At 53.5% G+C, this 23,014-nt stretch overlaps 1 protein-coding gene across 21 annotated transcripts in view, besides 6 other annotated features; it reads left to right on the top strand.

Moving 5' to 3' along the window:
- The window catches only part of ARHGEF10 (Rho guanine nucleotide exchange factor 10), a 135,313-nt gene that overhangs the window by 17,048 nt on the left and 95,251 nt on the right, over positions 1-23,014 (top strand). For 19 of the 21 annotated variants that reach the window (XM_047422452.1, XM_047422450.1, XM_047422454.1 and 16 more), the window contains 3 exons: positions 2,977-3,060; positions 17,584-17,739; positions 19,521-19,808. In XM_047422452.1, the coding sequence (XP_047278408.1) occupies positions 3,024-3,060; positions 17,584-17,739; positions 19,521-19,808 (481 nt within the window). In that variant the 5' untranslated portion in view covers positions 2,977-3,023. Of the gene's footprint in view, positions 1-1,246; positions 1,376-2,976; positions 3,061-17,583; positions 17,740-19,520; positions 19,809-23,014 lie in introns of those variants that run through there. The other 2 variants (XM_024447335.2, XM_047422458.1) reach the window with 2 other exon arrangements.
- Positions 71-950: an enhancer, noted in NCBI's record as "H3K4me1 hESC enhancer chr8:1788613-1789492 (GRCh37/hg19 assembly coordinates)". NCBI's record gives its function as "activates a minimal SCP1, AML or CMV promoter by ChIP-STARR-seq in primed H9 embryonic stem cells {active_cell/tissue: H9 hESC(primed)}" and the evidence as "EXISTENCE:reporter gene assay evidence [ECO:0000049][PMID:30033119]".
- Positions 951-1,830: an enhancer, noted in NCBI's record as "H3K4me1 hESC enhancer chr8:1789493-1790372 (GRCh37/hg19 assembly coordinates)". NCBI's record gives its function as "activates a minimal SCP1, AML or CMV promoter by ChIP-STARR-seq in primed H9 embryonic stem cells {active_cell/tissue: H9 hESC(primed)}" and the evidence as "EXISTENCE:reporter gene assay evidence [ECO:0000049][PMID:30033119]".
- Positions 1,831-2,708: an enhancer, noted in NCBI's record as "H3K4me1 hESC enhancer chr8:1790373-1791250 (GRCh37/hg19 assembly coordinates)". NCBI's record gives its function as "activates a minimal SCP1, AML or CMV promoter by ChIP-STARR-seq in primed H9 embryonic stem cells {active_cell/tissue: H9 hESC(primed)}" and the evidence as "EXISTENCE:reporter gene assay evidence [ECO:0000049][PMID:30033119]".
- Positions 2,807-3,682: an enhancer, noted in NCBI's record as "H3K27ac-H3K4me1 hESC enhancer chr8:1791349-1792224 (GRCh37/hg19 assembly coordinates)". NCBI's record gives its function as "activates a minimal SCP1, AML or CMV promoter by ChIP-STARR-seq in naive H9 embryonic stem cells {active_cell/tissue: H9 hESC(naive)}" and the evidence as "EXISTENCE:reporter gene assay evidence [ECO:0000049][PMID:30033119]".
- Positions 2,807-4,382: a biological region, named in NCBI's record as "CDK7 strongly-dependent group 2 enhancer GRCh37_chr8:1791725-1792924".
- Positions 3,183-4,382: an enhancer, noted in NCBI's record as "CDK7 strongly-dependent group 2 enhancer chr8:1791725-1792924 (GRCh37/hg19 assembly coordinates)". NCBI's record gives its function as "activates an origin of replication core promoter dependent on BRD2, BRD4, P300/CBP, MED14 and CDK7 cofactors, with strong dependence on CDK7, by STARR-seq in HCT116 cells {active_cell/tissue: HCT116}" and the evidence as "EXISTENCE:reporter gene assay evidence [ECO:0000049][PMID:35650434]".

The raw sequence follows: 23,014 nt of genomic DNA on the forward strand, positions 1-23,014 counted from the left end.
ACTGTCTGGTGTGGAAGCTGTCTGGTGTGGGGACTGTCTGGTGTGGAAGCTGTCCGGTGTGGGGACTGTCCGGTGTGGAAGCTGTCCGGTGTGGGTACTGTCCTGTGTGGAAGCTGTCCGGTGTGGGGACTGTCCGGTGTGGAATCTGTCCGGTGTGGGGACTGTCCGGTGTGGAAGCTGTCTGATATGGGGACTGTCTGGTGTGGAAGCTGTCCGATATGGGGACTGTCTGATGTGGAAGCTGTCTGGTTTGGGGACTGTCCGACGTGGGGACTGTCCGGTGTGGGGACTGTCCATTGTTTGCTGCACTTGTCTTTGAGGTTTCCTCCCATGAGCGTCATTCCCTACATTCACTGTTGTGGTCCAAGCATGTCTGTCTGACCTTAACTTGGATATGACAGCTTTCCCTCCAAGGATAACATCCTTTGTCATCCTGTGGAATCACTGCTGGGCTGGAGAGGGTAGGCACCTCCCGCCTCACGGGTGCTGCTGGGGTGGAGAGGGTGGGCCCCTACCGCCTCACGGGTGCGCTGGCCGGCACTCGGACCCTGTCTTGCTGCACAGAAAGCTCACCTGCAAGGGCACCCGATGTGGATCCTGTGACTCCCCACATATTCCAGGTGGAGCGATGACCTCACTTGCCCCCTCTCCCGGCCGGTGGGTGGAAGGGCAAGGACATGCCGTCGGGGCCTAGGCTGGGCTCTGGGTGCTCGCATCAGCCACCCGCCCTCAGCTGTAGCCTTCGCGTCAGCCAGCTGCCCTCTGCTGTAGCCTTGGGTGAGTGTCTCAAGTCTCCCAACCAGTGGTTTCTCCATTGAAAAATAATAACAGTACCTACGTCTTGGAGTTGCGCTGGCGAGGTGGACCTAAAAGGAAAAAGCTAGGGTAAAAGTAATCTATGTAGAAGGTTATTTGGGTCACGTGTGAGGCCTGCAGCCCAGGAGCCTGGATTCAGGCTGCCCTGAACGCACACTGATGAGCAGCGCCTCCAGGGCGATTTTGGAAAGCAGAAAGGGGGTCAGAGAGGCGGATGGAAAGCTGTTTGTCAGGAATTCTCATTAGTTTATGGAAACCATTGGTTTATTGATTAGTGATGCCTGTGCATTGTTAAGCTACAGAGTGTGTTACGGTGTCCAGAGCAGCATCACCAGGCTCTTTCCCAGCTACCGGGGGCCACAGTGGGCCATGTTGAGTGAACACGCGGCTCCCTGGGGGCAGGGAGTAGGGAGCAGGGCGTGGTTGTGGCTCGTCTGCTCATCTCTCGGGGCCTGATGATGTGAAAGGGCTCCCATCCCTCAAACCGAAGTTCCGCTCTTTTCTCAGCAGTCGTGTTAACAGATGAGACAATCGCAGCTGCTGCTCGTGGGGAGCCCCAGTGCGTGTTGAGCTACTCGTGTGCCATGTTGGTGAAATGACCTGAAACCTAGGAACTGGGGCCGCGGCGGGAACTGGGGCCGCGACGGGAACTGGGGCCGCGGCGGGAACTGGGGCCGCGGCGGGAACTGGGGCCGCGGCGGGAACTGGGGCCGCGGCGGGAACTGGGGCCGCGGCGGGAACTGGGGCCGCGACCGGAACTGGGGCCGCGACCGGAACTGGGGCCGCGGCGGGAACTGGGGCCGCGGCGGGAACTGGGGCCGCGGCGGGAACTGGGGCCGCGGCGGGAACTGGGGCCGCGGCGGGAACTGGGGCCGCGGCGGGAACTGGGGCCGCGAGGCGCCGAACCACGAGGCCAGGTGCTGGGGATGGGGCGGGGGTGGTGGCACGTGGCAGGCACCTGAGCAAGTCTGGGGGATGGAGGGAGAGCAGGTTCAGGGCTGGGAATACAGGAAGGCAGAAGGGCGGGCACTGGGCTGGGAATACAGGAGGTGCCGCATCTGAGGTTGGGGGCAGGGTCCCACTGCCATCCTCATTGGAAAGTAGTGTCTGTCTGCTTCTGAGAGTGCCAGAGCCAGTGGCCAGCTCTCTGCACTAGGATAAGGGAATTCGCCGGCCTGGTGGCGTCCTGGGTGTGTGTCAGGCAGAGCCTGGAGCTCTTGGCAGCCTGCCATCCCCTCGCGTTCCCCTCATTGAATAGTACGTGAGGCCGGTGACCACCCTGGGCATGGGCCCGCCTGGCCTCGGAGGAGCTGGCCTGTGGGTGACACTCAGGGACCATGCCCCCTGTGGTCCCATGTGCTTTTCCTGATGCGGCGAGGGCCTGGAGCTGGTGCCTGGTCCCCGGTGCTAGAGCCTGGTCCCTGGCACTGGAGCCGAGGCAGCTGGAGAGTTCCCTGAGGACAGCTTATTTCACCCTGGATGGCTCTGGCGGGAGCCAGGCCCGTGTTTTGTGGTCTTAACACGAGTCACCAGGAACTGGCCTTCCCGGGACTCGCTGGCATCTAGCTCACACTCAAACTGGTGTCCTCGAAGCAGGGAGGGAAACACGAAGTGTAGACAAGAATCACAACAGCAGGCAGGCCGGGACCCAGCCTCGCCCCGAGAGGTTAGCCACATGCTTACCAAAAGGAGTGGAGAGGGCCCTAAGCACCACGCCTAATCCCAGCTAAGTCTGGAAGAAAAAGGAGTGGAGAGGGCCGTCAGCGCCGCACCTGATCCCAGCTAAGTCTGGAAGAAACCCATTTGGTTTACATGTTGACTTCTCCCTTTAGAATACAGTGGGAAATTCAGCAAGGAGTTAAAGCCAGTGTCATTTTGGGAGGGCCTGGCTGGCGAATCCAATTTGCAAAATAAACTTCTGGCTACATTTCAAGGTGAAGTCACTCCAACACTGAGAAGTCTCTTTTGTTTTGCTCTTGAATGTTGTTTCAAGGGAGATTTACAAGTATTCATGACTAATAGGTGGTGAGTCTTCTAATTATGGCTAGTAATGACAGTTAGCTCTTCCTTTTTGCGGGGTTCTCTGTCGACAGCCCTACACCTATTGAGTGCATGTTTATCCACCTGAACGGTGACAAGCAGTGTCTCTCCTTCTTGCAGGAGCTCCTTCCCTTAACAGAGCTGAGAGAGGCATCTGGAGCTGCAGCATGGACCAGCGAGAGCCCCTGCCTCCCGCTCCTGCAGGTAACAGCACTCAGTAGGTGGGCCTGTGGGTCAGGTTGTGCTGCTGCTCTCATCAAGGACGGGGTACTTCTGGAACCACTGAATTGCTGGTCACTGGGGTATGGGGTGGAGTGAGAGCTTCTTGGGAGAAAGAGAAGGTTCTGACGTGAGCCTGGGTGCCCCCATCCTTGCCTTGCCACGGGGGCATCCTGGGTGAGCCTCTTGCGTTCCTCACAGGTGCTGCTGTATTGCTCTTGGGGACCTATGGTCAGCATCTGAAATTCCCTTAAGATTCCCCTTAGCCTGATGCAATCGGAGATGGAGCGGGAGGGTTGTTACAGAATGGCGCCTTCCAGTGTTGAAGGCCTCGCTCAGGCTTAAAGCTCAGCTCGCCCATGGCGGGTGCTCGCCCAGTTTCCTTTTCTGCCTCCCTCCTCTGAGCGGCCGCTCAGGGACAAGCACGCCCTCTCTATCCATATGCTCCAATAAGGGAGGGCCTGCTGATGAAAGATTTATCTTCATTGTCACCTCACCTGAGTTAAATTGTTGCCAAAAAGACTATGCCAGGGTTGCCAGCTCGCGCTCCGGCCAGTGGAGAAGGTGGACACTGACCGACGTTTCCATGGCAGGTCGTCTGCAGGGCCTGGAGACCTGGCCTAGGTCCTCCCGGGGCCTGCCGGACCACATGTTGCACATGGGCCTGGTGTCCGTTGCAGGTCTGGGGGGTGATGGAGCTGTGGAGGTCACGGAATTAACTGTGTGGGCTCCAGGCCCCTTGGCACTGTGGGTGTGGGTCTTGGGAGATGCTGGGATTTGGTCGTCTGTGCCCCCCAACTACGTGGACACTCTGGGCCCTCAGAGATTGTAGCTGGATCAGAAAAGAGGCAGCCTGGAAGTCAGGCTGTTCATAAGCAAGTCAGTCACCGGGGCCTGGTAGATGACAAAGACAGGAGAATCCAGGGGTCACCGGGGCCTGGTAGATGACAGAGACGGGAGAATCCAGGGGTCACCGGGGCCTGCTGGACGACAGAGACGGGAGAATCCAGGGGTGAGCAGTGGCCACCCCAGAAACAGCCAGCGACACCACAGGGGCCAGAAGGGATGCCCACTCCTGCTGCCGGGGGTCTGCGGTGGGGAACCAGGCCTGGAAGTCCAGCTCCTGGAGTTCTCCGGAGCCGCAAGACCACGGGGTACGGGACCCGGTACCGGAAACCCGAGGCCACAGCTCCACTGCTTCTCTTCTGGGGGTGACGTCGGCCGGTCTCCTTGCCTTTTTGTCGCCATGGTGCTCGTTGTCGCCACAGTTCACTTACGTGTGGATTGCTGGCATTCAGGCTCTGCCAGACTAGGTTGTTTTAATTGAAAATGAGGTCGGGCACCTCAGCTCACACCTGTAATGCCAGCACTTTGGGAGACTGAGGTGAGTGAATCACTTGAGCCCAGGAGTTTGAGACCAGCCTGGGCAACGTAGTGAGACCCCATATCTGCAAAAAGAATAATAATGTAATAATAATTAGTTGTAATAGTTGTAATAATTAGACCCCATCTCTGCAAAAATAATGATATGATAATAATTAGTTATGCATGATGGTGCATGCCTGTAGTCCCAGCTACTCATGAGGCTGGGGTGGGAGGTTCACTTGAGCACGGGAAGTTGAGGCTGCAGTGAGCCGAGATCCTTCCACTGAACTCCAGCCTGGGTGGTGGGACTGAGACCCTGTCTAAAAAATAAAGGTGGAACATGAGGCAGAGAGCAAAATCTTTTACTGCTTTTCATTCCTATCAAATGAGATGATGCCCCAGCAGAGCAGGGCAGTGGGCGTCATCCTGTGGCCTTACCCTCCACGGGCCCACTTTGGGCGGCTGTCCCTCCAGGGGCCCCCTCCCGCCTCCCTGCTTTCTTTTTGGCATTTCTTGGAAATGAGTGGTTGTCTTGGATAGTTTTCTGTTTGAAGGGGTGAGCACCAGAGCTTGCGTGCTTTTCTGTTGCCTCCCCTCCTTCCCACACACATGTAAGATGGCACACCATTAATATGGTGCCTTGACATGCTGAGGAGGCGGGTACAGTTGTTGGGGAAAGTTAAAAATGAAAGAAAGGCCAGGAAGCTGTCTCTGCAGGTAAGCGTGGAGGACGTAGGACCCGTTCAGAATCCCGTGGCAGATGGATGCTGCCTTTCACCCTGTTTTGCCCTCTGTTTCAAAGAAGGCGGAAACACCGTTTTCTCATTAAATTTATCTCCAGCATTTGCTGACGTCGTCATCAGTCCTGGCTAGTGCCTGGCACCCTGAGGAGCTCTGCCCAGCGGTACCACCACCTGGATTGCATGAAATGCCCATCCACCCATGGTCTCCACGACCAGAACTGGCTTCTGAAGAAGGTTCCTGGGCCCATAGGACTCCACTTTGTGTGTAGTTGTGCTAATCAGAGATGTGGCCTCTGATGGAGGCAGGACTGGGGGTGCCCAGGGTTCCCTGCAGCAGGACACTCCTCTGCTGGGGCTGGGGGTGTCTCCATAGCCCCTCCCTCTGCCCAGATTTCGACCCAGGGGAGAGTATGACAGGTCCACGCCCTCTGGGTGCAGCTGGACTGGCCAGGCCGTCCTTGGGCCAAGGCTACTGGATCCAGCCTCAGGGCTGGTCACTAGCTCCAGGCTGCAGGAATGTGGAGCTCTCCACAGTTCGCCACTGTTAACATTTCACCCAGGAGGGTGTCCTCGGGAGACCCTGGCGGGAGCCCGGGAGCCGCGGAGGGGCTGAGGAGCCGCCCAGCCCTCTGGCGGGTTGGGAGCGAGGCCCCTGCCCTTGCTGACAGGCCACATGACCTTGGTCTTTGATACAGAAAGCCACCATTTAATGACAGTGCTCTGGCTTGGAAACTTAGGTGAGTTTCTAGCCAATAACTTTTACGACAAATAGAAATAGGGATAATGGCCTGGTGTCTTTTCTGAGGATTCTGTGGTACTTTAATTATAATTTCCCCCATTATTAAGTCAACCGTCCACTTAAAAGTGCCCCTGAAGATCAGGATCCAGCAGGAAGTTACTGCGACCTCATTTCTTCCCTGCGTGGGGACACAGTTGGTGCTGTTACTTTAGATCATCACTTTTCTGGTTTTTTTCCCCATATTTCTTTTCTACATAATTGTAGTCATTGAATATAAATTTTTAACTTTTTTTTTTTGAGACGGAGTCTCGCTCTCTCACCCAGGCTGGAGTGAAGTGGTGTGATCTTGGCTCACTGCAACCTCCACTTCCCGGGTTCAAGGATTCTCCTGCCTCAGTCTCCTGAGTAGCTGGGATTATAGACACCTGCCACCATGCCCAGCTAATTTTTGTATTTTTAGTAGAGACAGGGTTTCACCGTGTTGGCCAGGCTGGTCTCGAACTCCTGACCTCAAGTGATCTGCCCACGTTGGCCTCCGAAAGTGATGGGATGACAGGCGTGAGCCACCACATGTGGCCTGATTTTTAACATTTTGAGTGTAGGTTTTTATACCGCGTTAACATTTGTGTTTGTGAGTATTTTCAGGCTGCTGCTCGTTTTTCGTAAGTGTCCTCCTCAGTGGCTGCTCTTGGGGCCTCCTGGCAGGGGTGCTGTTGTGTGTTCCAGTGGAATCATTCTTTAGTCCATGCCCATTCCTCACCTTTACCAGGTCCCTGTGCCTTCTCTAGAAATGTCTTTGGCAACACGTCAGGTCATCACAAGGGGAAGTGGTGTTGGAGAGGCAGCCTGTGCACCAGGAAAGATTTCAGGCTCTGCTGCCCAGCTGCTGGGGTTCAAATGTTGACCCTGAGGTGTGTGAGCTGATGACCTAAGCAGCCTTCAATTTCTGTCATTCCTGGAAAAAACAGAACCCCTCTCATAAGTTTGGGGAGGATTTGACAAGTTAGCATTTATGAAGTACTTAGACCTAGCTGGTAAGCACTCAGCAAATCCATTCAGAAGATGATCTGGGATTTCTCAGAATGCAAAACAAGTCACACTGCCAGCTAAAGCCTTTCTCTAATTAGTAGCAAAATTCCAATGCAAATTACATTAGGGCAAAAGAAATAAGTACAATTGGCATGTTAATGTTGGTTCACAAAAAATCATTTACCAAATACCTGGTAACTTCCATAATGAGCTCAGACAGACGCCAGCACTCACACTGGCATCGTCTCTGGGGGCAGCTTTGTTTCTGGGGGCAGCATTGTTTCTGGGGGATGGCACTGTTTCTGGGGAGGCCTCCTTCAGCACAAGCAGCTACAAACCGCAGTGACACCCAGAGCCAAGAAGTGGTTATGAATAGCCTCTTGTGGCTGAAGCTGTTTGCAGCCTGGTGCTTTTTAAAGGACTTTTCTTTAAACAATAGAGCTAAAACACAAACAGCCTTCATTCAAAATAAGAGAAAATCATATCCCGAGTTAAACCTTCATATGAGAATCAAACATGCTCTTCCAAGCCCCAGGAAAAGTAACACTTAGCTTTTATCTCTGATCTTAAAAAATGAGTATTACTTTAATCTTGTTCTCAGTGTGTTAATCGTTGCATGTCTTTAAAAGTTCTTCATGGACTTGGAACAGTCAGAGCGCTGTCTGCTCACGAGGGAAGGTGGCCCGGGAATGGGTGGCCTGCTTCTCCAGGGCTGGCGGCCAGTTCTCTCCCACTCAGGGTGCTGGGACCAGAGCCACCAGGTCTTGGTAGCTTGTAGAATAAATATTTCGCTAAAGAAAACAGAAAATTGAAGTGTTCTATGCGTCTTCTTTTGCATCGTGCATATTGTATTTGTCGTCCTCTCTTCAGTATCTCTGTAAAAAGAGGTACGCGGGGTCCTCCGTCTTAGTCCTCAGGTTAAGTGGCTTTGTACGCGCCACACGGCGTTTCCTACTTGTTGCAACATGCCCCAGGGAGGGATTCTTTCCATTCTGTGATTCCTTTCTATAGACGAGGGATGGGGTCTCGTGGCCAGCAAGCAAAGTTTGAACTCAGCTCTCCGACTCCAGAAGCCGTTCTCTAATCCACGACTCTGTACTTAGCATTTCTTGTGTAGATTTGTCCGGGGGCTTCAGAATAACACAGCAGGATGGGAGATGTGCTGCGCAGCGATGGGTGTGTCGTGGTTTCTGTTTGTTGTTTATTCAGTGAATGTTGTATTCACTATTAAATGTATTCACTATGTAAATGTAGGGAAGCTACATTTCAGGTACTACAAATGACTTTACAGTTTATAATCTAAATTGGGTAATTAAAAAAATTACAATGCATGTTAATTGTAGAATAAAAACTAAAATATAGACAAGTCACGAAAAAGAAAATACTTCACCTCTGGGAGATTAGTACTGTTAAAATTTTATTGAATATTCTTCCAGTGTTTTAGAAGTAGTCTTTTTTTTTCCCCTTGAAGCAAACTTTTAAATGCCGTTAATATAAGTGATAGTATCTGCATGGTTATGTTTCAAACATTAGCAGTTTTTTTCCCTGACAAACCTAGGCAGCACTTGTTTTTATATGTATAGTTTATTTAAAGTGAGAGATTAAGTTTTTTTATTTATGGCTTTATTAAGATATAATTCATATCTTAGTACCGTTTACCTATTTAACTTGTAAAGCTCCGTGGCTTTTACTGTATTCACAAGCATGTAGGACCATCACACAGTCAGTGCTGGTCACCCCTAGACACCGCTCCCCACCCCGGGCAGAGGGTAACTAAATTTTAAACTAAACTTAGATACTTTATTTGTACCCTTTTGCTCATTAAGAAAAGAGCACTTAAAACTAACTTCAAATTAGAATAGCCAAAATCCAGAACACAGATGGTAAATGCTGAGAAGGGTGTGGGGCGGCTGCGGGGACACAGACGGCAAATGCTGAGAAGGGCGTAGGGCGGCCGTGTGGACACAGCAAATGCCGAGGAGGGCATGGGGCAGCCACGTGGACACAGACAGCAAATGCCGAGGAGGGCATGGGGCGGCCACGTGGACACAGAAGGCAAATGCCGAGGAGGGCGTGGGCCGGCCGCGTGGACACAGAGGGCAAATGCTGAGGAGGGCGTGGGGCGGCCACATGGACACAGACAGCAAATGCTGAGGGGGGCGTGGGGCAGCCACGTGGACACAGGGCAAATGCTGAGGAGGGCGTGGGGCGGCCACGTGGGCATGGACAGCAAATGCTGAGGAGGGCGTGGGGCCAGCTGCGTGGACACAGACGGCAAATGCTGAGGAGGGCGTGGGGCAGTCGTGTGGACACAGACGGCAAATGCTGAGGAGGGCGTGGGGTGGCCACGTGGGCATGGATGGCAAATGCTGAGGAGGGCATGGGGTGGCCACGTGGTCACAGACAGCAAATGCTGAGGAGGGCGTGGGGCGGCCACGTGGACATAGAGGGCAAATGCTGAGGAGGGCGTGGGCCGGCTGCGTGGACACAGGGCAAATGCTGAGGAGGGCTTGGGCGGCCACGTGGACACAGACAGCAAATGCTGAGGAGGGCGTGGGGCGACCATGTGGACACAGAGGGCAAATGCTGAGGAGGGCGTGGGCCGGCTGCGTGGACACAGAGGGCAAATGCTGAGGAGGGCGTGGGCCGGCTGCATGGACACAGAGGGCAAATGCTGAGGAGGGCGTGGGCCGGCTGCATGGACACAGAGGGCAAATGCTGAGGAGGGCGTGGGCCGGCTGCGTGGACACAGAGGGCAAATGCTGAGGAGGGCGTGGGCCGGCTGCATGGACACAGAGGGCAAATGCTGAGGAGGGTGTGGGGCGGCCACGTGGACACAGAGGGCAAATGCTGAGGAGGGCGTGGGGCGGCCACATGGGCATGGATGGCAAATGCTAAGGAGGGCGTGGGGCAGTCGCGTGGACACAGACGGCAAATGCTGAGGAGGGTGTGGGGCGGCCGCGTGGGCATGGACGGCAAATGCTGAGGAGGGCGTGGGGCAACCGTGTGGACAGACGGCAAATGCCGAGGAGGGTGTGGGGCGGCCGCGTGGGCATGGACGGCAAATGCTGAGGAGGGTGTGGGGCAACCGCGTGGACACAGACGGCAAATGCTGAGGAGGGTGTGGGGCAACCGCGTGGGCATGGACGGCAAGTGCGGAAGACGGCATGGGCCACCCGCGTGGACACAGATGGCAAATGCTGAGGAGGGCGTGGGGCAGCTGCGTGGACACAGACGGCAAATGCTGAGGAGGGCCGGGTGCTGGCGGGTGGCTAGAGGGCGTGGGGCAGCCGCGTGGGAGGGCAGTTTGGTGGCTTCTTCAAACCTGAGCACACTCTTACCGTGTGACTTGCAGCCATGCCCCGGCGTATTTATTTAAATGAGTTGAAAACTTAATGTCCACTCAATACCTGCCCATATAGGTGTTGATAGCAGCTTTATTCATAATTGCCAGAACCCAGAAGCAGCCATGATGTCCTTCAGGAGGTGAATGGATGGATAAACTGGGGCCCATTCAGACAGTGGAACATTCAGTGCTAGGAAGAAATGAGCTGCCAAGCCGTGAAAAGACATGGAGGAGCCTTAAATGCATCTTACTGAGCGAGAGAAGCCAACCTGAAAAGGCTGCGCCCGGTGCGATTCCAACCACGTGACATTCTAGAAAACAAAATTATACAGTAACAAGCTCAGGGTTGCTAGGGGTTTGCGGGGGGGAGGGGTGACAGGCGGAGCACGGGATTTTTAGGGCCACGAAATTCCTTGATAATGGTGCATCCATGTCATTACACGCCTGTCCAAACCCATAGAAGGCACAGCACCAGGAGCGAGGCCTCACGCACACCGTGGGCTTTAGTTAGCGACGTACCTCAACATCATTACACGCCTGTCCAAACCCATAGAAGGCACAGCACCAGGAGCGAGGCCTCACGCACACCGTGGGCTTTAGTTAGCGACGTACCTCAGTGTTGGCTCCTCACACAGAAGGCACAGCACCAGGAGCGAGGCCTCACGCACACCGTGGGCTTTAGTTAGTGACATACCTCATTGTTGGCTCCTCACACAGAAGGCACAGCACCAGGAGCGAGGCCTAACACACACCGTGGGCTTTAGTTAGTGACGTACCTCAGTGTTGGCTTCTCAGTTGCAACAAGTGTTCCACTCTGGCAAAGGATGGGGGATAGTGTTGGGGGAGGCTCTCTTTGGGGGTGGGGAGTATATGAGAACTCTCTGTACCTTCCTCTCAATTTTCCTGTGAACCTAAAACTGCTCTAAAAAGTTGTATCTCTTAAAAGCAACCAAACTGGGGTGGGCACGTTGGCTCTTGCCTGTAATCCCAGCACTTTGGGAGGCCGAGGCAGGAGGATCACTTGAGTTCAGGAGTTTGAGACCAGCCTGGGCAACATAGTGCCACCTCGTCTCTATTAAAAATAATAAAACTTAGCCAGGCGTGGTGGCTCATGCCTGTAGTCCTGGCTGCTTGGGAGGCTGAGGTGGGAGGATTGCTTGAGCCCAGGAGGTCAAGGCTGCAGTAAGCTGCGATCGCAATACTGCACTCCAGCGCGGGCAACAGAGCATGACTCTGTCTCAAAAAAAAAAAAAATTAATAACCAAATGGAAATGAATCTCTGCTGCAGACCATATGAAGACAGACACAAGCAGAGGGGCCCTGTGGGTGTGGGGACGGCTCTCAGGCTCAGACAGGCCGTTAGCCGTCTTGATAGCTCGAGATTCAGGCCTGCGAGGTCCACTAGGCTCAGGTGTCTACAAAACTTAGAATTGATAAGAATTAAATAACAACAACAACTGAGGCTCTTGGTCACACTGGCCACCCCAAGTGCAATAGCCATGTGTGACTTGAGCTGTCCTGCGGGCCCTCTAGAACCTCTCCATCATCCTGGAGAGGACCGGGGAGCAGCACCGTTTCTGTCCTGAGGGCCCTCTAGAACCTCTCCATCATCCTGGAGAGGACCGGGGAGCAGCACCGTTTCTGTCCTGAGGGCCCTCTAGAACCTCTCCATCATCCTGGAGAGGACCGGGGAGCAGCACCGTTTCTGTCCTGAGGGCCCTCTAGAACCTCTCCATCATCCTGGAGAGGACCGGGGAGCAGCACCGTTTCTGTCCTGAGGGCCCTCTAGAACCTCTCCATCATCCTGGAGAGGACCGGGGAGCAGCACCGTTTCTGTCCTGAGGGCCCTCTAGAACCTCTCCATCATCCTGGAGAGAACCCGGGAGCAGCACCTTTTCTAGCAGCAGCATTTCGAAGATTGGATTGTCAGGTAACTTCCTCGCCCTTTTTTGCATATAGGCATAACTTAAAATGGGCATGGTCATATTATGTCATAATGATTGGAAACGTAATGTTTCTTAAAGTTTTCTATTTCATAACTTGTTTTAGAAATGTGTGCCTTAATTGATGAGCCAATTACCTGCATACTCACAAGTGTAAAAAGTCAGGTTGGTAAGAAGTCAGTGCCACCAAGGCAGCCCCAATGGCCCTGCTGTGACGGAAACAGTCTGAATCCTGAGGCTTAAATGGCTGCTGCTGTCGGTCAGCATTAGGGGTGTCGTGTCAAGCTGCCGGTGACCCACAAGGGCTGGCCCCTGAATGCAGCAGAGCCTGCAGTTTTCCTGGGAAGTGCAGCTGTGGCCAGAGGGCAGCCTGTCCTGGGCAGGCCAGAGGAGAGGGGCAGGGGAAGAATGGTCCCCAGGTTAGATTTGGGCCGGGCGCTGGCGGGTGGTTAGATTTGGGCCGGGCACTGGCGGGTGGTTAGATTTGGGCTGGATGCCTGTGGGTCGGCACGGGCTGCACTGCCGTCTGTGTTTCCTCCTCCGTGTCATGGCCTTCATGGGTGACTCTCAGAACCTGCCGTCCTGAGTGGGCAGGAGGGGCACAGAGCCTCTCCCTAGGTGCAGCCCTGCCCAGGCCGCCCTTCCCTGCTTCCCTGCCAGCTGCCTACCCAGAGCGCCGGGCCCTTCCCGCCCACCTCCTGGGCTCCACAGGGACCAACGGGCGGAGAACACTGGGCCATGGTGTGTCCAGCGAATGACGGCTACACTGCAGATTCCCCAACAGCTTTTTGAAAGATCCATGTCGTCTCAAACTACAACACGTTGTATCTCCTGAGATGCTTTCAGCAGCCCTTGAGCATCTTTTCTAGTTTGCAAATTGTAGTTTTTCTCATCAGTGTTCTCCTTCAGCTGAATGGCTGGGTTCTGAAGCTGGGGTTTTGAGAAGCGGGAATTCCTTCTGTGGCTGCAGCAGGAGTGTTGTGGGAACCGACCCAGCCCAGCTTGCCTGGCTCCCGCCAGGGCCCTGAGGATGGCACAGGACCTTTTGTGTTGGAAAGGGCTTGGCCGAGCTTGCGGGGGAGCCTCCTGGGTTGCAGGCCGGAAGTCCCAGGTCAGGGTGCTGGCAGGCTGTGTGTGCTCCCCGGGAATGTAGGTCACAGCCTTCCTTGCCTCTTCCAGCGCCCGCCGGCTGTGGGCACTCCCGGGAGTTCCTGCAGCTGCACTGCCAGGTGGCTCCTCGTCCCTGTGCTGGCCTCTGCTGTCATGAGGACACTGCCACACTGGGTTAGCCGAGCCTGCTCTAGCACAGCCTCCTGTAAACCAATTGCACCTGCAGTCACCTGTTTGCAGACGAGCTCACCAGCAGACTGGGGGTGAGGATTTCAGCACAGGGATTTAGGGGACACAATTGAACCTGTCAGGGCTGGTGTCAGAACTAAACTTAGGACCCCAAATGCTGGGATTTTTAAAGGCATTCTGCATTGCACTTCACTAAGGGACCTGGGGAGCTCGGGTGGGGTCTGTGATGCCCAGGATCCCCCAGGGCCCAGGGCAGTGTCTGGGATGGACATGCTCAGCACACACCACCTTGAACGCCCGGCCCCATGCTCACCTCAGAGGGCGGCGCAGCCTCACCATCGATGGAGGCCCCCTTGGAGGTGGGGGTCAGAGGAGCAGCCCAGCTCCAGGCGGCCTCGCCCTCTGTCCTGGGCGCCCGCCGTGGGCACAGCTGTGGGCACCCATGCAGGCAGGGGTGCAGCCTCAGGTGGTTACATTGAGCACAACTTCTTTGAGTTCTTGTAGAAAGGCTATTTTTTTCTTACTGGAACTGAATTCTGAGAGGAATTTGTAACACACATCATTCTGCAGAGTCTATATAACTTGAAAGTCTTTCCCTGCAGTGTTTGCAGAGGATGGAGGGCAGCTCCGCCAGTGTCTGCCAGTCTTTCAATGACAGCAGAGAGCTCTTGAATTCCAAGCCCCAAGCCCCTTCCAAGCCCCTCCAAGTCTAAACTAACAAGATTTAAACTTTTGGAGGAATTTCTTGATTGCTTTGATTTCCCTTGTATAGTAGAATTCTACTTAAATTTTACTAGGGGAAAAAGTGAGTTATTTTGGCAAAAAACAGTTTGAAGCTTGCTCATCTGCTCGTCATTCTCTCATTCATTCGCTCACATGATGTGCGTGTCACACATTGCCGCCAACCAGGTTTCCCACTGCACCTTGCTGGGCGGTGAGCAGAGGTGCCGGCTCCGAGAACGCATGCGGTTCTTCTCAGGGTCATACCTGTACCTGGCACACGGGACATGCACTGTCCCAGGTAATCCCACCGGTCTCCCGGGGCTGGTGTCACAGCCCAGGAGGTGGCGTATGGGGAGGGAGTGGAGGGGCCTCGGTGTCTCCTCAGGGCTGTTTCCTGCACACACGGGCTCCTGTTCACGGCCTTCCTTCCTGAAGACTTTAAAGAGAATTCCTTCTTCCTGTATGGGGTACAGTGTGGGTTCCGGTCCCAACAGCTCATGTTTCTCCCCTTGCAGATATTTGAGAGCCTATTTTGTACCAGACATTGTCAAGCTTTTTTAAAAAACAATATTTATAGACTCATGTCTAGGTGTATTTTATCTAATTGTTTGAGTTCAGCGGTAGTAAACTATAATTTCCAAAAAAGAGAGTTGACAATATAAAAATCTAGTGTGATTGTGTCACCGTCTGGATGAATCTGAACATGTGCCTGGCAGTGACTTTTTTTGGGGTGGTCAGAACAGAAACTTTTTTTGGGGTGGGGGACAAGGTGTTGCTCTGTCCCCCAGGCTGCAGTGCGGTGGCGCAATCTCAGCTCACTGCAACTTCCGCTTACTGGGTTCAGGTGATCCTCCCACCTCAGCCTTCGGAGTAGGTGGGACCACAGGTCCACGCCTTCACCCCAGGCTAATTTTTGTACCTTTTTTTTTTTTTAAGAGACGGGGTTTCACTATGTTGTCCAGGCTGGTCTCAAATTCCTGGGCTCAAGCAATTAGTCCTCCTTGGCCTTTGAAAGTGCTGGGATTACACGTGTGAGCCCCTGCGCCCAGCAATACATAAACATTTTCACTGATCATTTTCGTCACGGCATTTAGTCGGCATTGTTTCCGCAGCACGTTTATTTGGCAAACATGATTTTTTCTCCCCAAACGTGAATTCTGTGGAAATGACAGTTGCATTTGGAAAATATTCCAGAAAACAGTTTTTTTGTTTGTTTAACTTTTTACTTTAAAAGGTATTCACCAGTTCATTTCCATAAACTGACTACTTAATGATATGGCAAAAAAAAAAACCCCTTCTGAAATAGGTTTTGTTTACGGTCGCTTGGGAGACAGTGAGGACTGGTTTGAAAGTACATAGTTAACAAGGCTCAAACTCTGGAAATTAGCGGTTCTGTCCATTCCAGCTCTCCCCCTGCTTCGATTGTTTCATTTGATTAGGCTTAAATTCAAAACTTTGAATTTAGAGAAGTCTTTGACCCTCTAGGAAGTGGGTGAGGCTTTGGTATCTGGGCAGAGCAGAGTTCACCATCCAGAAGGACAGCAACACACACTCCTATCAGACGTATGTTTTAAAAATAACACATTTCTGAATCCTTTTTCTTGATTCAATTTTAGTATTTGTCATTCTCATACTTGTAAAACTCGTGAGTGTTGGTGGAAGCAGTTCCAGAAAGCTCGTGGGGTCCCCAGGTGTCATGGTCAGCTGGGGGTCTCATCCCCACCGTCCTTGCAGTGGTAGCTGGATCCAGTTCACGCTGTCGTGGGCCTGGGCCCCTCTGTGTATTTGTGGTGACCTAAAAATCTGTTTCCTTCAAAAGGCACTCCTAGAATGTATGACTAGTTTAGGAGATTCAAAGGAAAATGAAACACCTCAAATTTAAAGGTTGTTTTTAGACCGCTAGAGTTCCCCGGGAGGCGACTTCCCCAGGAGGCTCGGCAGAGAGCGCCTGGAGACTGCGTGGAGTGTAAGTGGGTTGTGTGTCTGTGGGTTGCTCCCTAGCAGGGCTCCCCCTCAGCCCCCTCCGGAGCTGCCTGCAGCCGAGCTGGGCCGTCCTGCTTGGGTGCATCTCCCTGGCCCACGGGGGATTGTCTGTGTTGGAGGGGCTTGGTTTGGGCTGACCCAGGCTCTGTCCCGAGGTGCCACCTGCTTCTGTGGATTGCCGGGCATGGCAGCAGGAGGTTTCCTCAGGAACGTGTGCTGGGAAGAAATCCCAGCCCTTGGGAAAGGCTGGCAGGGGCTGGGTTCCTCTCGCTCCTGGGTGTGCCGGGTGGTGTTGTCCCAGCACATGGGTCTCCTCTGGAAAAAGGAGAAGCACCTGTCTGCTCTGATGGTGGCACACAGTCCTAGCACGCCGTCTCTGCAAATGATGCACACGGCAGGCTGCGCCATCAGCCGTAACCCCGGTCCAAGGAGACCTGTGACTCGCCTCCTGCAAAATGTTTCTTATCAAGCACTTACTTGGAACAGTTATTAACCATGCTCTTTAATAATTATGGAGGTTTGTATTTTAAGCTATATATCGGTGTTCATATTTGACACTGATTTTCTAACCATCAGAGATATTTAATTAAAATTGTAAATAAGAGAGGCAAAATGAAAATAAAAGGAGAAGAATTCTAGGGAGAGATGCAAGGTGTCAGAAGTTATTTCTAAAAGTAAAGTGGATGATACTGAATTCTCTTCCAGACCATCAGCCCAGCCGGGTGATGTTCATCTGCTGGGTGCACAGATTTAAAATGTGAAAAGCTCTTTTTTCCCCTTACTTTCTCTTGTTTTCTTTTCTTTTTTTTTTTTTTTGAGACAGAGTTTTGCCCTGTCACCCAGGCTGGAGTGCAATGGTGCAATCTCGGTTCACTGCAACCTCCGCCTCTCGGGTTCAAGCCATTCTCCTGCCCCACCTTCCTGAGAAGCTGGGATTACAGGTGCCCGCCAACACGCCTGGCTAATTTTTTTATTTTTAGTAGAGATGGGGTTTCACCATGTTGGCCAGGCTGGTCTCAAGCTTCTTACCTTGTGATCTGCCCACCTTGGCCTCCCAAAGTGCTGGGATTACAGATGTGAGCTACCACCCCCAGCCTCTTGTTTCTTCTCTGTGAGTTGTAGATCCTATTAAAAGAAAATAAAAACCAGTGACTCAGAATTCTAATGATACTTATTTTGCCCCTTAAAAAGGTTAACTACAAGCGCAGTACAGCACAGAGGAACTTAGTCAGTGTCTCTGGCTAACATAGATCGATCGATCTATCTATCTATCTATCTATCTATCTATCTATCTATCTATCTATCTCTCCTTGATGTGGTTTTGGTTTTTCTTTTTAGAAAATGAAATGAAATATGATACCAATAATAATGAAGAGGAAGAGGGAGAACAGTTCGATTTTGACAGTGGAGATGAAATCCCAGAAGCGGACAGACAGGCCCCATCCGCCCCTGAGACAGGAGGTGCTGGAGCCAGTGAAGCCCCTGCACCCACAGGTGAGTTTCCAGGAGGGTCCCCAGGTGAGTCCCCAGGTGGGTCCCCAGGTGAGTCCCCAGGTGGGTCCCCATGTGAGTCACCAGGTGAGTTCCCAGGTGAGTCCCCAGGTGAGTCCCCAGGTGGGTCCCCAGGTGAGTCCCCTGGGGGGTTCCCAGGTGAGTCCGCAGATCACCGGCATCAGGGTCACCTGTGCTCAGCCATCGGACTCGCCGATTTTCTCCCCATTCTTACGGCCCAATTGGAACATTGTAGGGAAAGGATGATTTCTAGGAGCCAGAGAGTTATGATTTCTTCATGATGTACCTGAAAGGACTTAATTTAAGATTGGCTAAGTTTCTTCTCTTTGTACTATTTTCCATAATTTTCAACCTTTTCACTCTACCTTTGTATTTTGCAAAGAAAAAGTATTGCTATTTCCCAATAAGAATGACCTCATCATTGTATCACTAGATTAAAAGAAATATTCAGAACATGTGGGATGAAGTAGCTGTAGAGGTTTCGCTTTCTAAGTTTGGAGGTGGGTTGGGTGCTTTCATTCGCTGACCAGAGGGACTGCTCAGGTCAGGCAGTGGTGGGAGAGCCTGCACAGTGTTTCTTCCTGTGTAGCACCCGCCTCTCAGCTCGCACGGTGTTTCTTCAGGTGTAGTACCAGCCTCTCAGTTTGGCAGCGTTCCTCTTGGCTCGCACGGTGTTTCTTCAGGTGTAGTACCAGCCTGTCAGTTTGCACAGTGTTTCTCTCTGCTTGCACGGCATTTCTTTGGGTGCAGCACCAGCCTCTCGGTTGTTTGCATGCCGTTTCTTTGTGCATAGCACCCACCTCTTGGCTTGTACCGTGTTTCTTTGTGCGTAGCACCAGCCTCTCGGTTCTTTGCATGGTTTCTTTGTGCGTAGCGCCAGCCTCTCGGTTGTTTGCCCGGTGTTTCTTTGGCCATAGCACCTGCCTCTTGGTTGTTTGCACGGTGTTTCTTTGTGCATAGTACCCGCCTCTCTGCTTGCACGGTGTTTCTTTGTGCGCAGCACGCGCCTCTCTGCTTACACGGTGTTTCTTTGTGCACAGCACCAGCCTCTCGGTTGTTTGCCCGGTGTTTCTTTGGCCATAGCACCTGCCTCTCGGTTGTTTGCCCGGTGTTTCTTTGGCCATAGCACCTGCCTCTTGGTTGTTTGCATGGTGTTTCTTTGTGTGCAGCACGCGCCTCTCTGCTTACACGGTGTTTCTTTGTGCATAGCACCAGCCTCTCGGTTGTTTGCCCGGTGTTTCTTTGGCCATAGCACCTGCCTCTCGGTTGTTTGCACGGTGTTTCTTTGTGCGCAGCACCCGCCTCTCTGCTTACATGGTGTTTCTTTGTGCATAGCACCAGCCTCTCGGTTGTTTGCACAGTGTTTCTTTGGCCATAGCATCAGCCTCTCGGTTGTTTGCATGGCGTTTCTTTGTGCACAGCACCCGCCTCTCAGCTTGCATGGTGTTTCTTTGTGTGTAGCACCAGACTCTTGGTGAGGGGAGCAGCTGCCCTCCTCCGGCAGCTTCTCCCTGACTTAGCTCATGGGATGAGCCTCCTGTAGTGACCAGGCTGCATCCGTCTCACCTGTGCCCAGAGGTGATGCTGGGTTCCCCATGTGTGAGTGCTCCCTCCGAGGCCACCTGATGACCTGGGAACGTCTAGGGGTCCTGGCATGGGATGATGGTGGGAGCTCATACCTGCTTCCCACTTGCGCTCCAGGAGGGCATGCCTGCCATGCCCTTGGTGATGTGTCTGCTGACAAGTCCTTTCTGCATCCCCAGGAGGTGAGGATGGAGCTGGAGCAGAAACCACCCCAGTGGCAGAGCCTACTAAGCTGGTGCTCCCGATGAAAGTCAACCCATATTCTGTCATCGACATCACGCCATTCCAGGAGGACCAGCCGCCCACCCCCGTGCCCAGCGCTGAGGAGGAGAATGTGGGTCTCCATGTGCCCTGCGGGTACTTGGTGCCTGTACCCTGCGGCTATGCGGTGCCCTCCAACCTGCCCCTCCTGCTGCCCGCCTACTCCAGCCCGGTCATCATCTGCGCCACGTCCCTGGACGAAGAAGGTACTGCTACCCTCCTCTCCACGCCCCCGAAGTGGCCTGTGGTTCCCTCCTCTCCACGCCCCCGAAGTGGCCTGTGGTTCCCTCCTCTGCATGCCCCGGATGTGGCCTGTGGTTCCGTAGAGTCCGGGCCTGACCTTCCCCCCTCCTCCTCCTCTCCATGCCCCCGATGTGGCCTGTGGTTCCGTAGAGTCCGGGCCTAACCTTCCCCCCTCCTCCTCCTCTCCATGCCCCCGATGTGGCCTGTGGTTCCGTAGAGTCTGGGCCTGACCTTCCCTCCTCCTCCTCTCCATGCCCCTGATGTGGCCTGTGGTTCCGTAGAGTCCGGGCCTGACCTTCCCCCTGCCCCCACCCAGGTCATTAGATGTTTGTTTACAGAGTTGGAAAATGAGCCCCTAGTTCATCTTCAGTGACAGGAACACCACTGAGGGAAGGCCAGGGTGTATGGTTTGGAAATTTTTGAAACAACGTCTGGTGCCGAATGTGTTGCCCCCTCATGTCTGGGGTGCCTTGAACTTCACCCCGATCTCTGATTCCCCCACCAGCTGCTCACGGGAGTGTGTGCAGTTTTTGGCCTGTATGACTTACTGTGCTAGATGACAGTTACCGTTATGTATGTCCCGTGTCACCTGCTTGTCTATAGACTCAGACTCCCTGGGGTCAAAGCGTGTGTCTCGCTGTCTTCATTCCAGAGGATGGAGGGGTGGTGGGGGTGGGAGAATTGCCTCAGGGGCTCCCTGTTTCCCACTCATGCTTTTCCTCGCCGGGAAGATGCCGCAGGATCTCAGCAGAGTCCTCAGTGGAAGGTCAGAGCCACCTGGGGCAGCACAAAGGGCTCAGAGTCGGCCACTGAGGACGGTGTTCCCTGTAGCCAGGACATGCTCCGAGCGAGGACTGTGGGTGCCCTCGTGGGTGCCTCGCTCACCTCCGGTCTCTGTGTCCTCAGCGCTGACAGCTCCATTTCGAGTCTGCTTCCTCCTCCACTTAGTGAGAAGGAGTGGCCATGTGCTCTAGAAGGGGCTTGGTTGGTGGAGCCCGTTCTCTGCTGTCCTTACATGGCCCTGCCATGTGTAGTCACGCACCAGCTGTGTCTGCAGAGCCACAGGGTTCTGCTGGAAGGACAGCGTGCAGTCCGTGGCTGCTTCGACTGCAGCCCAAGGGCTGGGGCCTCCTGCCGGCCCTGCTGTAGGGCCAGGCGCCAGGGTGAGGGTAAGCACATACCCTGCCTCTGTCTTCAGGAGCGACCCAGTCGAGGCGTCTCAGCCGAAGTTTTCCTTTTTTGCCCAGATCTGTTTCTATGCTGTCTTTCCCAGGAACGCGCTGCAGGATTCCCAGGGTTCATGGGATGTTCCTCTAATGGAAGCCCACAGCCTCTACGCCTGAGACATGATTCTTATTCCTGTAAAGGTTTCAGTGGAAGCAGCCTTCCCTTTCCAGTTAATAACAGTTGAGAAAAAAAAATCCTTAAAGAAAAATCTCAATTTTGGATTTTGGGAAACACAGAGGTTTCAGAATAGACGGCCTCCTGTGCGTTTTCCTGTTGAAGTCGGCCAGAGTCCTCGGAACTCACCACGGTCTGCATGATCCACGCTGCTGTTGTCACTCTGTGACCGCGGAGCATGAGAACCCCCTGGAAATGAGGGCGTGCAGAGTGTAGGATTCTTGGCTGAAGGAAAATACGTTTGTTTTAAAGTGATTTTCTTATTTTAAAATATTATTTGATTATTTAAAATAATTGCATATCATTTAATTTATTTTTAAAATAACTTAGCATGAATTTAAAACAATTTGCTTATTTTTGTTCTGTCAACCTAGAGCCAGTAATAAAGCCTTGTTCTAATAAAGACTATTTTAAGTCCCGGAGTAGAGGAGCAGGTGGTTCTCCGGTTGCGTTTTGATCATTGAATGAGGGATGTGAACGCAGACCTCCTTCCTGGGAGGTGGAAAAGCGTGGATTTGGTGTTAGGCCCGGTCCCCAGCCTGGCCCACACTTCCTGCCTGGTGGCACTGCTGGCTTTTCTGTTCCTTGCTCTGGAGCCTCCCTGGGGCGGGGCGGCCGCCTGGCTCTGCAGGGCTTCCCCGGGACGTACAGCCCAGCCAGGATCCCCAGGCCTGCGGTGGGAGGTTGCAGAGCCCTGCCTGGAGCTCCCAGCTGGCCAAACTGGGATGACCAGATTCCGTTATTTTTCCTGCCTACCGAAACCAGCTCTCAAAGACGTCCACAGGCAGGTCCTGCTCTTGTTTACGCACGGGCTGTTGTGGCCAGAAGCCTCTGGGTGCGCTGCTGCTCGGAGCTGTTTAGGCGACTCCCTGGCCAGCGTGTCTGCCTCCTTCTGACCTTGACAGACTCAGTTTGCACCTTAATTTCCCGGAAGGCGGAGGAAAGAAGAGTTTCCTGGGGTGGAGCCCTGAGAGGGCTCATGTGTGTGCTCTGGGGATGGGAGTCTGTGCTCCTGGACACCCCCGTGGGGGAGACATTTCTCACCGTGCAGCGAGATTGCTGCTGGGCAGCACGTCCTGCCTTTGTCCCTCTGCAAAACACAAGTAAAAGCTTTGTGGCTCTTTGGGTGTTTCTTTTCCTTTTTTTCTTCTTCTTTTTTTTTTTTTTTTTTTTTGAGACAGAGTCTCGCTCTGTCGCTCAGGCTGGAGTACAGTGGCGGGATCTCGGCTCACTGCAAGCTCCGCCTCCCGGGTTCACACCGTTCTCCTGCCTCAGCCTCCCAAGTAGCTGGGACTACAGGCGCCCGCCACCACGCCCGGCTAATTTTTTGTATTTTTTTTTTAGTAGAGACAGGGTTTCACCATGTTGACCAGGATGGACTTGATCTCCTGACCTCGTGATCCGCCCGCCTCAGCCTCCGAAAGTGCTGGGATTACAGGCATGAGCCACCGCGGCCAGCTGGATCTTTGGGTGTTTCTTTGAGGCAGTGTGGCAGTGTGGGAAGGGCAGTTTTTGGAGCAGGCAGATTGGATTTCAGATCCTGGCCCTGTGTCTGCCCTGACACCTGCCACTCAGGAAGGTGGCCCGGAACACTGAACCAGCAGATGCATGTGGGATTTGCAGCGCTACCCGCAGATCCACCCCCCCAGCCCCTCGGGCATCTCGTGTCTGTTGCTAGTCAGCATCCAGCTGTGTGGCAGCTCCTGGTGTGACCAGGGACCTGTTTTCAGGGATGAGACCTCCAAGCAGGTTACATCGAGCTCAGCTG

This window comes from Homo sapiens, chromosome 8 (genome assembly GCF_000001405.40).
Source record: "Homo sapiens chromosome 8, GRCh38.p14 Primary Assembly".
Lineage (NCBI taxonomy): Eukaryota > Metazoa > Chordata > Mammalia > Primates > Hominidae > Homo > Homo sapiens.